The sequence below is a fragment of the Homo sapiens genome, chromosome 16 (assembly GCF_000001405.40).
Source record: "Homo sapiens chromosome 16, GRCh38.p14 Primary Assembly".
NCBI lineage: Eukaryota > Metazoa > Chordata > Mammalia > Primates > Hominidae > Homo > Homo sapiens.
Genome location: NC_000016.10, coordinates 81,777,760 through 81,792,629, shown reverse-complemented (window position 1 = coordinate 81,792,629; position 14,870 = coordinate 81,777,760). Strand labels below are relative to the sequence as shown.

Here is a 14,870-nt window from a genome sequence, read left to right as displayed (position 1 = left end):
ATGATTGTAAGTTTCCTGAGGCCTCCCCAGCCATATTGTGTGTGAGTCAATTAAACCTCTTTCCTTTATAAATTACTCAGTCTTGGGTTTTGTTTGCTTGTTTTTGTTTTGTTTTGTCTTTTTTTTTTTTTTTTTTTTTTTTTTTTTTTGAGACAGAGCCTTGCTCTGTCACCCAGGCTGGAGTGCAGTGGAGTGATCTCGGCTCACTGCAGCCTCCGCCTTGCACATTCAAGCAATTCTGTGCCTCAGCCTCCCAAGTAGCTGGGACTACAGGCATGTGCCACTACACCCAGCCAATTTTAATATTTTTAGTAGAGATGGGGCTTCGCCATGTTGGCTAGGCTGGTCTCGAACTCCTGACCCCAGGTGGTCCATTTGCCTTGGCCTCCCAAAGTCCTGGGATTACAGGTGTGAGCCACTGTGCCCAGGCTGGAGTATGTCTTTATTAGCACCATAAGAATGGACTAATACAGTGGCAGAGCAGGGATTTGCATCATAAATTGGGATTCAGAGTCGACATGCTCATGTGGGAGCTTGGCTGCTGGTGGCCACCATCAGTTCCTGCCTACCATCGATATGCATGCCATTCCTTCTCTAAGAGAGAAATTTCCTTTCCTTGAAGCTGAGCTGGGCTTGCTGATCTGAGTTGGTGCAAGTGATGTCCTCGGATTTATGAGGCTGTCGTAAGAAGCCTGTAGCTTCTGCCTGGGACTCTTCTGCCTGAGACCACCACATGGTAGATGTTTGGTCAACAGTCCCAGCTAAGGCTGGGTGCAGTGGTTCATGCCTGTAATCCCAGCACTTTGGGAGGCCAGGGTGGGCAGATCACGAGAGGTCAGGAGCTCAAGACCAGCCTGGCCAACATGGTGAAAGCCCATCTCTACTAAAAATACAAAAATTAGCTGCATGTGATGGTACCCACCTGTAATCCCAGCTACTCGGGGGGCTGAGGTGGGAGAATAGCTTGAACCCAGGAGGCAAAGGTTGCAGTGAGCCGAGGCTGCACCATTGCACTCCAGCCTGGGTGACAGAGATTCCGTCTGAAAAACAAACAAACAAAAAATAATCCCAGCTAAGCTCAGTCTTCCAGCCATCACCACTAAGGTATCAGATGTGTGAGTGAAGATTCTGGAACCTTCCAGGCGAGGTGACACCAAATGACCTCAGTCCAGGCTACAAAGAGTAGAAGAATTGCCCAGCTGAGCTCTGCCCAGATCTATGACCCACAAATCTGCTTGTTTATATTACATGACACCCATTAATCCCACAGGATCAGGGCAGCCATCCCTGCTAACCATCTAGCAAATCTCTCTAAACTCCACCCAAGCAGCTCCTCCACAATGAGCCCTCCCCATTCCTCACCACCTCCCCCACATCCAAATGGACAAAAACCTTCCCTCCTCACACCACATCCAGTGAAAACTCCTGCTATGGTACTAAGCACACAATCTTGCAAGGGCAAGTTTGAGTCTGTCTCCCCCTCTTGCAAGCTGGGACTCCATCCTCCTCCTCCCTCTCTCTGCAGAGTTTAGCACTCAATATGATGGCAAACATGTGCTGAACAAATGAGAAAATTCCATCCAAACAGGGTTCAGAGCAAAACCCTATTTTACCCAGTGACATTTTATTGCTGTGAGCAAAGCAAACACATGACTCTAGAGCAGTTTCTCAACCCCTGCACCACTGACACGTTTGCTGGATCACTCTCTGTGGTGCGGACTGTCCTGTGCACTACAGAACATTTAACAGCCTCTCTGGCCTCTACACACTAGATGCCAGTAGCACCCTGTATCCCAGGTGAGAAAATCAACACGTCTCCAGACTTTGCCAAATGCCCCCTACCCTGGAGTAGGGAGGGAGAGGCAAAAATCACCCTGGTTGAGAACCACACGCTGCTTTAGACAGTAGGACCTAGGTATTTTACCCAGGTCTGCACAGGGATTGTAACACCTGTCCAAAAGTCACACACCATTTGCCAACTATTCCAAAACCAGGTGCCGGTGCTCCTCTCATGTGCACCTGCCCCTGCAGACCCCACAGTAACCAGCAAGTTCCTGCTAACCAGAACCCCGTGAGGAAATTGCCAGAGCTGGGAGTTCTTCTTGAGATAAAACGTCACCCTTCTCAGCAGGAGACTGAGCGGTGACACTGACAGTCCCCACCCAGGGCCTGAAGGCCTGCTCTCTCAAGGTGTGAGGGAGAAGCACCATTTCTAAGCTCTTCACACATAATTGGCTTTCCCTGTCACTTTACCAACACCATCATTGCAAACAGGACCTCCACTGCATGCTCAAAGATGCAAATCCAATCACGTCATCCCTCTTCTGAAAACCTGAGAATGGACCCTACTCCCCTCCAGTCCAAACCCCTAAGGAAGACTACATAGGCTGGACTCCACTAGTTAGCAACAACAGCAAACATCCTGAAAGTGGTGGTTCCCAACAACTGAGTGCCTGTCACACACTATGAATTCAGCCGAGCCTCTCCAATGCATCTTCTCATTTGCTTCTTCCCAACCATGAGCCTGTGGGGTAGACACCAATGTTATTTCCAGTCCACAGATAAGGGAATTAAAGTTCAGAGAGTGGAGGTAACTTGCCCAAGATCACACAGCAAAGCTCATCCAAGGGCACTGGAAGTCAAGCCCCAGACTGCTCATACCTAATAAAGCAATATAGGCTCCACGGAGATTTGAATCCAATTTAATAACTGCTGTATCTCTAGCGCCTAGGGCGGCGCCTACAGTGGGCATCCAAATGACAGAGGGGAGGCAATGGAGGGGGGGCAAAGGTGGGAAGGGAAGGAGAAAGAAAGGGAAAGTGGGAGGGAGAAGAGGAGGGAGAGGAGGGGGAAGGTGGAGGAAGGGCAGTGTCTCTCCAGTGGCATATGTGTGAAACCTGCCTAGTTACCAGACCATCCGGGGGACTTATTATAATAATACGCCCCAGCCAAAGTGGTGAAATATCATCATTCTTGGTCTCTCCAGGGAGAAAGAAGAAGGAAATAAAGAGGCTGAACAGATAAATAAAAGAATGAATTGAGGCCGGGCATGGTAGTTCCTGTCTGTAATCCCAGCACTTTCGGAGACCAAGGTGGGAGGATCACTTGAGGCCAGGAGTTGGAGACCAGCCTCGGCAACATAGCAAGACCCTATCTACACAAAAGTTAAAAAATCAGCCAGGCATGGTGGCACTCACCTGTAGTCTCAGCTACTTGGGAGACTGGGCAGGAGGATCACTTGAGCCCAGGAGTTCACAACTATAGTGAACCATGATCAGGCCATTGCTCTCTAGCCTGGGCAACAGAGCAAGACCCTGTCTCTAAAACAGAGAGCGAGAGAGCGCATCCGCGTAAGCGAGTGAAATGGTATTACTCAGCAGAAGGGGAGAATGACAGGGCATAGATTTCAAGCCAAAATCCTGTCTCATGCCCATCACAATGAGCTTCAGAAGAAGGTTCTAATACCCTGTAATTTCTTTTTTGTATATATTTATTTTATTTTATTTTACTTTAAGTTCCGGGATACATGTGAAGAGCATGCAGGTTTGTTACACAGGTGTATACACATGCCATGGTTAATACCCTATACTTACAAGATCCCCCCTGGGTGTTTCTGATGGGCAGCTAGGTTTGGGATGGGCAGGTTGAGAAGAGAAAGGAACAACCTGCAGTCCAGTCTCAACGTGGCCCATCTGTATTTACCATCAGTGCCAACCCTCTCACCCCTTGTGGGGGAAGGGAGGGTGGCCACCCCAGCTGCAACAGGTTTCTGGGCCACCTGGGGGTGGAGCCGGCCAATGCAAACAGTCAAGAGGGAAGATGGCCACCTCCACATGGGCAGTTCCAAAGCAGGGCTCTGGCTCTGTGCCACAAGAGACCCACTGGGCTCCAAAACCAGGAAAAGCCTTTCAGAAAGCAGTTTGATCACACTCATGATAGGATACATCAAATTAAGGATGACACCAAGCTACCAAAGTCTACCTGTGGATGGCCAAGTTCAGCAGCCACGCAGCATAGATGAGGGTTCAGGCAACAGGTACTTTTACATCCTGTGGCTGAAACAGACAGTGGGGGCAACCTCTTTTGTGGGGTGCTGCCAAACTTCCCTTTAAAGTTAAAATATGCCATACCCCCATCCTGCCTAACACAGTGAGACCCCGTCTCTACTAAAAATACAAAAAATTAGCCGGGCGTGGTGGCGGGCGCCTGTAGTCCCAGCTACTCGGGAGGCTGAGGCAGGAGAATGGCATGAATCCGGGAGGCGGAGCTTGCAGTGAGCTGACATTGTACTACTGCACTCCAGCCTGGGCAACAGAGCGAGACTCTGTCTATTAAAATATATATATGCCATATCCTTCAGCTCAGAAATAAACCTTCAGGAAGCTGTCCTTCAGATATACCCATATATACAAATGAAGAATAATGCAACGATCACCCTTTTCTACCACTGGAAGGAATATAAATGGTGCAGCCACTTTAGAAAACAGTCTGACAGTTCCTAAAATGATGAAACTGAGTTAGTGTATGACCCAGCAATTCCACTCCTAGGTATATACCCAAAACAAATAAAAACAGACATCCACACAAAAACTTGTAGAGAAACATTCTTAGCAGCACTATTTATATTAGCCAAAAGGTGGCAACAACCCAAGGGTCCGTCAACAGATGACTGAATAAACTGTGGAATACCCATACAACGTATCGTGATTCTGCCACAAAAAGGAAAATTTCTGATCCACGCAACAAAGTGGATGAACCTTGAAAAATGCTGAGTCAAAGAAGCCAGTCACAAAAGCCCACATACATAGGATCCATTTCTATGAAATGTCCAGAATAGAGAGGTTTATAGAAACAGAATTAAATTTAACGGTTGCTTACGTCTGGTAGGGGGGATGAGGGGATGGGGTGATGGTGAAAGGTATGGGGTTTCATCTTGAGGTGATATAAAGGTTCTACTTTTGATTGGAGTGGTGCTTGCACATTTATATAAATATACTAAAACCACCACACTATACATGCTGCATACAATGGGTGAATTCTATGTATACTATGTGAATTATGTCTCAATCAATCTATTATAAAAAAAAAAAAAAAGAGTGCAAGGCTGGGTGAGGTGGCTCATGCCTGTAATCCCAATGCTTTGGGAGGCCAAGGAGGGAGGATCACTTGAGCACAGGAATTGGAGACAAGCCTGGACATAGTGAGATCCCATCTCTACAAAAAAAAAAAAAAAAAATTAAATTATCCAGGCATGGCGGTGCATTCCCATGGTCCCAGCTACTTGGGAGACTGAGGCAGGAAGATCACTTGAGCCCAGGGGGCTGAGGCTGCAGTGAGCCATGATCATGCCATTGCACTCCAGCCTGGGTAAAAGAAAGAGACCTTGTCTCAAAAAAATTAATTTTGTTTTAAAAAAAAAAGAGTACAATGATAGTCACTTCGAATAATAACAAAAGCCTGGAAATAGCATGAAATGCCCTTCTCTGGAGTTAAACTGTTACATTGAGGCCTGTGCCATTACATGTCATGTGTCCAAGAAAGAATGAGATCAATGTGTGCTGATAAGAAACCACCGCCAACATCATTATTAATTAACAAAAAGAAGTCAAGGTGCAGAAGTGTACAAGAGTTCCCAATTGTTTTCTTTTTAAACCCACACATTATGCAAGCATAGACTATTTTGGAAGATAAAAGTAACTGGTAATGAGCTTGCCTCAGTAGGATGGTTTAGGGAGGAGAAATATTTGAGTTGACTCCTTAACCCCCAGGAATATATATTTCAATTAAAAACTAGTTAATTTAAAAACACAAATTAGAGCAAATATTTGCAACTGAAAATTGCTTAAGTGCCTTTACTCTATTTGTTAAAAACAGTCTTAGAAACTTTAGGATCTGAACCAGCTGCCCAATCAAACGGAGGTAGGGGAGGAGGGACACCTCTACCAAGACCAGACCTGCATTTGAAAGCTACAAAACGTTCAACAACTCACTCTCCCTGCTTGGAGACTAAAGCAAAGGCCCCTCACTGCTATGGTATGCAGTAAAACAAGGTAGCATTTGGCGACCAAGCTATGAGTTTCTGCAGGCTTGGGCTAATTCGCCCTTAAGAGGAAAGATGACTCGACCAGTTGTGGGAACCAGACGATCCCTGATGCTGTCAGACAGGGCACAGAACCACCAGGCAAGGAGAGCTGCCTGAATGCCATTTCCATGTTGGCTGACCTCAGCTTCAGTTCTTTCACCAGAGTTTTCCCAGCTGAACTTCCTCCACCTGGTGTAAACCTCATCAGAGATCCACACAAACTGGCAATGCTTTCATTTTAAGACGAATAAAAGAACACATCAAACCAACAACAATCACAGTAATGACAAGACAGGAAGGTGGACAGGTGCTCAGGCCAGGGCCCCAGAGGACGGGCCACACTGCCCCACCCAGCGAGTACTCACAGAAGCCCTCGATCTTGTCAGCGGTCTTGCTCCAGGCCACCTGCCGCGTCTCCATGATCACCTGGACGGTTCTCCGCTCGGGGGTGGACTTGCGGAAGCTGAACACAGTCATCACCGTCCCCAGCTCCAGGGCTCTCTTGATCTGGCTCTTCTCATATTCCGCAAGGGAATCTACATTGACCGTGGTGGACATTGTCGGCCGCTCCAGGGAGAAGGAAGGAATCGGGAGAAATCAGGAAGCTGAAAGGGCAGAATTAAAGAGTGAACTGATTTTAGTACTGAAAGGGGTTTAGTTAACAGGGCATGAACTTCAGGAACCAAAATCCTGTCTCATGTCAATCAGGATGAGTTTTAGGAGAAGGTTCTAGTGGCAAGGCATCGCTGGCCACTCAGAGAGCTAAGGCAGGACACAAAGGTTTAAATGGAAACTGAAGTGTGAGAAGAGCCCCTGACCTCAAGGACCCAACCGTTACGTGGGCTTTGAATAACCAAATCACCCTGACCTGGCAGTGAGTCCCCTCTCTCCCCACCCACTCTTATCCTAAAGAATATTTGAATAGCCAAAGCAGCCCAGCCTGGCTCCCACCTCTCACCCCTAATCTCCAACATCCTTCTCTATCCTGTCTAGAGATTTCTAACCATCTCTTTATTCCTGAGCAAAATTAAGAACAAAAAAAAAAAAAAAATGAAATAAACGAAAAACAAACTAAACCTTCAGAATCATCCATGGAGACTTTGGCAAATGGTTCCTCTGCATAGAAATGAGGATGAAAGGCAGGAAATGTCAGGTCTTGGCAGCTTCACGTTCAAACCCTAGAGAAGGTTCCTGCTGACTGTGTAGCTCTGGGTAGACTGCTTGACCTCTCTGTGCCTCAGTTTTAGCCTTTTTAAAATGGGAGTGTTCAGAAATGCCCCAGCAAAGCACCTGGGGTGACGGCCAGCACCTAGGAGGTGTCCTTGATTGCTGTTTATGCTTGTGGGTGGTCAGTGTCAGAGAGGTGCTTGGGCCCAAAACCTTGGAGGAATCCTTGCGTGGACTCTCTCACGACCACTTCCAACGCATCTCACCCTTTCACCGGCTCCTCCTAGGATCTCATACTTGAACTATTCTAATCCTGCTCTCCCCACTTCTTCCCTGACCTGCTAGGGTCAATTCTCAGATGCAGAGCCAGAAGGATCCTTTTAGAACATGAATCAAATCATGTCACTCCTCTGCTCAAAATCCCTTAGTCCCTCCCTGAGCCCTCACTCTGTACCATTCCCTCATTCTGCCTCCCAAATCCCCAGAAACACATTGCCTGCCCCCAAAATAGGACTTAGAGTGAAGGCGCTCCCCAGGCCCTGGAGCTGAACCACCAGGGACCCCCTTGCCAGCTAGGCTGCAAGAAGTCACTTAGATCCTCTGGGCTCATTTCCAGTCCCATAAAAGAAGGTAACAGTATCCACCATCTAAATGTTTTTGTAAGGCTTAAACAAGATAATGTATCTCAGGCCCTTAAAACAATGATACAAAGTCAGCACTCCTTAGATTAAGCTATTGTTAAAATTACCATTATTTGTTCTGTTTCTTATCTCCTCCTTTCCCTCCAAGTCCCTGGAGGTGCCTGGAGTTGTTACTCTGTAGCTCTCAAGGTTACAGAGTAGCACTAGAGAGACCCTCCCAGGATCCAAAGAAGGAGGAGTGAGAGGCTGGTGTTCAGCCAGGGCTGTCTGTGCTTCCAGCCGGGCTCAGCCTTCTGCCAAGCTGCTCTAAATCTGTGGCTCGGTTCCCTCATCTGTAAAATGGAGGTTAAATGCCCACAAGGGGCAGCTGGGAAGACAAAAAGCTACAATGTATGCACAGCCTGCAGCATTTACCAGGGTCTCAGTTAGCATTAATCAGCCATTGGGGAAGGCATTAATCAAATGTCAACTCTATGCCAGGCACTGAGGTGGGGACTAGGATGCAAATGAGGGGAATGGGGAGGGGCCCAGGATTTGCCCTTTGCCCCCACCTCCCTCTACTGCACACCCATACCAAAGGGACCTCCTCGGTCAGCCATGCCAGCAGCAGGAGATAATTACACCTGCTCTCTGCCCATGGGGAAACAGACTAATCAACTGAGAATTCTAATGTAGTTACAAGTGCAGCAGCAGAAGCATGCACTGGGGGCACGGCGGGCAGAGAGCAGCAAGAAGGAATCCTAAATTTAATCTGGAGTGTGGCTAGGCACTTAAAGGGCTCAGAAAAAGCTTTCAGGGGAAAAAAGCAGGCATCTGAACTCAATCTTTCAAAAAAGATGAAGCAGGAGGAACTGGCTTTAAGTTTAAGCAAAGGCTAGGAGGCAGAACAGAGTATGCTAAAAAAAAACCCTGCTGAGAGTTAATGTGCATCTTACCTTATCAGGAGAAACCCAAAATGACCTCCTGATCATTAGCCAGGACAAAGGGATGAACAAGGTGCCCCCATGGTCCATTTCATCCTTGTTAAGCAGCCATTTATTGGGCCCTTCCCCAGGTGCCAAGCACCTGTTGTGTCTGGTTCGTCTCATTTATCTCAATGGGAAATACGGCAGCGGAAAACTGAAATCCCAAGAGGTCACATTACTTGATCAAAGTCATGTAGACCAGCAGCAGCACAAAGATCAAAACCCTCACCTGAGTCCCAAGCCCCTAGTCCAGAATCCTGTGGCAGCATCTGGCCAGATATTAACTGATTTGCCAGTACTTGCCACTCTCAAAAGAGGTTAAGGGACTTATCCGAGGTCACACAGATAGAAAGTAGCAAAACGAGTTAATGGGTGCAGCACACCAACATGGCACGTGTATATATATGTAACAAACCTGCACGTTGTGCACATGTACCCTAAAACTTAAAGCATAATAATAATATAATAATAAAATTTTAAAAAAGTAGCTGAAACTGGATTTGACCCAGCTGCCAACCACAGAGCTCTTCACTATGTTGACTGTTCCCAGCCATGCATCCTGGAGTTCCCCACTCCCAGGTCTCTAGGCCATAGTCCACTGGAACATAAGTAGGAAACACAAGCCCCATTATAACACCTTCAATTAGACAGAAACCAGGACAAGGGACCAGGCTCCTCAGTTCTTTCCAGCCCTCACTCTGGGAGGGCCTTGGACTTAACCTTCCCCAGGGTCCCAGTTACTTCCAGCTTCGAAGCCCAGTGGATCAACTCAGCCATAAACACCAGACTTCCATGCTGCGTCTCACCAATTGCTTTGTAATAGCTGCTCACAGGTTGCCCTAAAGGAGCAGGGGTGGAATTTACACTCTCACCTGCAGTGGCTGACACCGTTCCTTTGAAAACACTGTATCCCCTCTGATGCTGCAGGGTGGGTGTAAGGTGCAGCAGTAATGTCCATTCAACTGTTGGAGGGGCCCTTACCACTCAAGTATTTGCCTGTGCCCCATTTTAACAGAATCGTTTTGTGGGATTTTGGATGAAATCCTGTACTGGCTTAACATGCACAGAGCACTGAAGAGAAAAACTTCCTTGATTTCTGGTTTGGGGTTCTTGTATCTCACGAAATGCCCTTCTAAATAAGCTTGTGAGATACAAGAACATGAATGAGCTTATGAGATGCAATTGGAAACAGATCTTCACGGCCAAAAGATCCCTGGAGTCCACCATTCAAATCCTGCCAGCACCCAGCTCAGGTCTCCAGCGTTCCACGCTTTATCAACTATGGCAGGGAGGTCTCCAAGACCTTGAGCCCAGGAGAGAGCACCAGCCACCACAGCAACTTCCATTTTGCTTCTGCTTTTTTTGGTTTTTTCAAAAAAAGAAAAAAAAAAGCCTTGAAATCCCTTTTTTGTTCCTGTTTCCCATTCTTAATGGGTAATTCTATAAAATGACTTATTTTGTAAATACAAATATGGCTGAGTTTGAATAACTGATTTTTGCCATTTTTACATTTCATGTCCTTCTAAAGGTTTTTCTTGTATCTCATAAGCTCATTCATGTTCTTGTATCTCATAAGCTTATTTAGAAAGGCATAAAATGGGCCAGGCACGGTGGCTTATGACTGTAATTCCAGCACTTTGGGAGGCCGAGGTGGGCGGATCATGAGGTCAGGAGATCAAGACCATCCTGGCTAACACGATGAAACCCCGTCTCTACTAAAAAAAAATACAAAACAATTAGCCGGGTGTGGTGGCACATGCCTGTAATCCCAGCTACTCGTGAGGCTGAGGCAGGAGAAAGGCGTGAACCCGGGAGGCGGAGCTTGCAGTGAGCCGAGATCGCGCCACTGCACTCCAGCCTGGGCGACAGAGCAAGACTCCGTCTCGGGGGCGGGCGGGGGGGGGGGGGGAAAGGACATGAAATGAGATGCGAGGACCCAAAACCAGAAATCAAGGAAGTTTTTGTCTCTTCAGTGCTCTGTGCATGGTAAGCCAGTACAGGATTTCATCCAAAAATCCCACAAGACAATTGTGTTAAAATGGAGCACAGGCAAATACTTGAGTGGTAAGGGCCCCTCCAACAGTTCAAGGGACATTACTGCTGCACCTTACACCCACCCTGCAGCATTAGAGGGAATACACTATTTTCAAAGGAATGGTGTCAGCCACTGCAAGTGAGAGTGTAAATTCCACCCCTGCTCCTTTAGGGCAACCTGTGAGCAGCTACTAAAAAGCAAAACACGCATATGCTTCGATCCTGCAATTGTACATGTAAAGAAAGACATGCACAAAGATGCAATATGTACGACAGAAAATCACGGAAGCAATAGTTGCAATAGAAATACAAAAAAAGAAAAAAAAACAGAAAACAACTGCTCATCAATGTGGGGGGCCTCCTGGATAAATAATGGTGCACATGCACTGAAGAACGCTCAGTAGCCATCAGAAAGAATGAGGATGATAGATAAGCAATTTGATCTGGAAAGATTTGTGAGGTCAATAAAAAAATAGCTTCAGACAATAGTTGCAACTGTATGAGTATAATACAATTCCCTTTTTATAAAGGTGATCTTCTGGTAAATCCAGGAGAGTGGTTACTATTTATCGGAGGCTGGGAGAGGGTAGAGGATACAACTTGACTTTATTTATATTAACTGATGATGTAACGGGCAAATTTTTCTCTTTGTGTTCTTGCTGTTTTCTAAATTAAGAAGTGTTTGTGTGTGTTTGTTTGTTTGTTTGTTTGTCTTGAGATGGAGTCTCTCTTGTCACCCAGGCTGGAGTGCAGTGGCATGATCTGGGTTCACTGCAACCTCCACCTCCTGGGTTCAAGTGATTCTCCTGCCTCAGCCTCCTGGGTAGCTGGGATTACAGGCGGCCACCACCACGCCCAGGTAATTTTTGTAGTTTTAGTAGAGATGGGGTTTCACCATGTTGGTGAGGCTGGTCTGGAACGCTTGACCTCAAGTGATCAGCCCAGCTCGGCCTCCCAAAGTGCTGGGATTACAGGTGTGAGCCACCGTGCCTGACCAAGAAATGTTTTCAAAAGTTTTCTCACCAGCAGCTTTTCATTGACTCTACCCAATGAGTGCAAAAGGGCTATTCATGGGGTCTGTGCTTTTCCACTTCCAGAGGAACTGCCCATACTCCAGTCGCTGGTGGGGGAAGGCAGCTGCATCATTAGGTGACTTAAACATCAGTGAGGCTCACAATGACGATTGTCCCTGAGCTGGTATACACGTGACTGCACACACACCTTTGCAAGAGAAACTGCTTGAGGCTGGCATAGACTTCAAAATTCTGTAAAACTTCCCCGCAGAACTGTAGTCAAGGACGAGGGCCCATGCCCCAGAGAATGCCCTTGAACCAGAGAGTCAGGAACTGCCCAAGGACTCTCCATGGATGCGCCCCGATTCTCAGCGAACCTCGTGGAACAGCAATAAGCCCCAATTCTCGACACAGCCCTGGAAAATTGGGTGGCTCCAGTATCCAGAGGGGGAAACAGACTCAAAAAGGTTCTTCAACTTGCCCAGGGTCCCACTGATGGAACTGAAATTCAAATTAAGTTCCGACGGGCAAGGCCACCTGTTTCCCTCGCGCCATGTCACCCCTTTACCACCCCGCCCCCCATAGTTTCTCACCCTAGTTCAAGATTAGGGTACCAAGAGAGCCCCGCCCCACCGTCCTGCTGGAATCCAGGAGCTCCCCGTCCAAACGGGGCACGTCTTTAACCTGAACTCTTGCGCTGTGCGGGTAATGCCCTCTTTGGGATTCCAAAACACAACAAAACACAACACGCACAGACACACGCATAATTACGCAGACAGCTGCGGAGCGGGCATCGCGAGTGTCCTGCAAGCTCTCCAAAAGTCTCCGGGAAGGACTGCGCCTCCCGCGGTATCGCTCCCACCCGCCACCCGCAACCACCGAAGTGAGACAGGGAAGTGTGGCTCCGAGCGTCCGCGAGCTCTGGGCACAAGGGCCGTCAAGAGAGACGGCGCCACCCCACGCAGAGCCGCTCGAAAAGAGGAGTTTTGAACGCCAGCCCCCACACGACCCCTGACCTTCCTCCCGGTCCCCATTCAAAGCTGGGGCCGCCCCACCGCACGGACCGGAGAGGTGGCGCCGGCCCGGGGTGAGGAAGTGGCCAGCGGCTGGGCCAGGATCCCTGCCGTCACCAAACGGACCCCGGGCACGGCGGGCCGGGGTCCCCGAGGGTGCGCCCCGTCCCTGCCCGCTCCGGCTGAGCCAGGACGCAGACCCCCTCGGACGCAGCGCCCTGGGAGCCGGTCCCCGCGGGGCGCAGGTCCCTGGGCGCCCTGCCTGCCTCGCTCCCGGCCGGGCAGCTCACCTGGCCGTGCCGCCCGGGCACAGCTGCCCGCCTGCCCCGGGTTTGGGCTCCGGGGTCCCGCGCGCGCAGCCCGCGTCCCGACTCGGGTCACTCAGCGCCGCTCACGCCCTCCGCCGCCGGCGCTCGCTACTTCTGCTTCGGCCGCGGCGCCGCGCCACGTGATCCTCGGGGGCCGCCCCCCGCACCGCCCAGCCTCGCCCCGCCTCGCCCCGCCCCAGGCGCGCCCAGCCGGGTCCGCCTCTCGGAGCGCACCCCGAGTGCAGCGTCCCCGCGCCCTCCCCGCCATGGAGCGGCCCAGGCCTGGAGCCCCGCCTCTGCGTGCCAAAGAAGAAACTGAGGCAACCCGAGGGGAGGCTACCTGCCCGAGGCCACTTGGCCAGGTGCAAAGGGAATTCCCCAATATCATGGCATTCCTGGAGAGCCGGCCGCAGTCCAGGTGTTTGCCGTATACTTAACACACTCCCGGCCGGGCGCCCGGGCTCACGCCTGTCATCCCAGCTCTTTGGGAAGCCTAGACGGGAGGATCGTCTGAGCTCGAGAGTTCGAGACAGCAATGAGCTAGGATGGGTGTGGCCGAGAGACACTCCGTCTCAAAAATAAATAAATAAAAATTAAAAATAAATATACTCTTCACAATTACCCGCCAGGAATTGCCAATTCATGGCCCTAATTTGAAGCCCTCGTTGAGGCTGCGCTGGAGTCAGACCAACCCTTACTGCTACCTTAGGCAGACCACTTAAAAACCGACAGCCTCAGTTTCCCCATCTGTAAAACGTGATCAACATAGTGCCAGCCCCAAAGGGAGTCAGGAGCAAAGAACCCCAGACAATTGATGTCCCGTTTTCCTGATCTCATGGGAAGAAGCTAATATGTTCTTTAAGAAATTTATTTTTCCGTTCGTGTGTTGCATGAAGCTATCTGATTCAAACCCTTCCTATGCTCTTTGATGGAGGTATCTTTGTTGTGACTAGAGGCAGTTTCAGGGGCACCTAGACAGCTGTCAGGCACTTGAATTTCACTTCCAAGTTGCTTGAGTTATAGCTTCTGTTTTCTAAGAGGCAGGGTCTCACTCTGTCACCCAGGCTGGAGTGCAGTGGTGCCATCATAGCTCACCACATCCTCGAACTCCGGGACTCAAGCGATCCTCCTGCTTCTGCCTCCTGAAGAGCTGGGACTATAGAGGCACACCACACTTGGCTAATTTTCTCTTTTTTCGACATGAGGTCTCACTATGTGTCCCAGGCTGTTCTTGAACTCCTGACCTCAAGCAATCCTCCTGCCTCTACCTCCCAAAGCACTGGGATCACAGGCATGTGCCACTGGTCTGTTATAGCGTTTTTTTTGTGTGTGTGTGTTTTTGGTTTTTTTTGTTTTTTTTTTTGTTTTTTTTTTGTTTTTTTTTTTTTTTGAGACAAAGTCTTGCTCTCTTGCCCAGGCTGGAGTGCAGTGGCACGATCTCGGCTCACTGCAACCTCCACCTCCCAGGTTTAAGCGATTCTCCTGCCTCAGCCTCCTGAGTAGCTGGGATTATAGGTGTATGCCATCATGCTTGGCTAATTTTTTGTATTTTTACTAGAGACGCGGTTTCACTATGTTGGCCAGATTGGTCTCAAACTCCTGACCTCAAGTGATCCACCCACCTTGGCCTCCCAAAGTGCTGGGATT

At 48.9% G+C, this 14,870-nt stretch overlaps 1 protein-coding gene across 4 annotated transcripts in view, besides 5 other annotated features; it reads right to left on the bottom strand.

Moving 5' to 3' along the window:
- Nucleotides 1-14,870, bottom strand: part of PLCG2 (phospholipase C gamma 2) — a 223,645-nt gene that overhangs the window by 170,056 nt on the left and 38,719 nt on the right. For 3 of the 4 annotated variants that reach the window (NM_001425751.1, NM_001425749.1, NM_001425750.1), the window contains one exon: nt 6,448-6,687. In NM_001425751.1, coding sequence (NP_001412680.1) covers nt 6,448-6,640 — 193 coding nt within the window. In that variant the 5' untranslated portion in view covers nt 6,641-6,687. Of the gene's footprint in view, nt 1-6,447; nt 6,688-13,205; nt 13,340-14,870 lie in introns of those variants that run through there. The other variant, NM_002661.5, reaches the window with a different exon arrangement.
- Nucleotides 6,032-6,326: a silencer, noted in NCBI's record as "tiled region #14941; HepG2 Repressive non-DNase unmatched - State 20:ReprD, and K562 Repressive non-DNase unmatched - State 20:ReprD". NCBI's record gives its function as "represses a minimal TATA promoter and a strong SV40 promoter by Sharpr-MPRA in HepG2 and K562 cells {active_cell/tissue: HepG2 | K562}" and the evidence as "EXISTENCE:reporter gene assay evidence [ECO:0000049][PMID:27701403]".
- Nucleotides 13,034-13,113: a silencer, noted in NCBI's record as "silent region_7763". NCBI's record gives its function as "represses an Ori minimal core promoter by ATAC-STARR-seq in GM12878 lymphoblastoid cells {active_cell/tissue: GM12878}" and the evidence as "EXISTENCE:reporter gene assay evidence [ECO:0000049][PMID:35858748]".
- Nucleotides 13,124-13,223: a silencer, noted in NCBI's record as "silent region_7762". NCBI's record gives its function as "represses an Ori minimal core promoter by ATAC-STARR-seq in GM12878 lymphoblastoid cells {active_cell/tissue: GM12878}" and the evidence as "EXISTENCE:reporter gene assay evidence [ECO:0000049][PMID:35858748]".
- Nucleotides 13,254-13,523: a silencer, noted in NCBI's record as "silent region_7761". NCBI's record gives its function as "represses an Ori minimal core promoter by ATAC-STARR-seq in GM12878 lymphoblastoid cells {active_cell/tissue: GM12878}" and the evidence as "EXISTENCE:reporter gene assay evidence [ECO:0000049][PMID:35858748]".
- Nucleotides 13,552-13,846: a silencer, noted in NCBI's record as "tiled region #4151; HepG2 Repressive non-DNase unmatched - State 4:PromP, and K562 Repressive DNase matched - State 4:PromP". NCBI's record gives its function as "represses a minimal TATA promoter and a strong SV40 promoter by Sharpr-MPRA in HepG2 and K562 cells {active_cell/tissue: HepG2 | K562}" and the evidence as "EXISTENCE:reporter gene assay evidence [ECO:0000049][PMID:27701403]".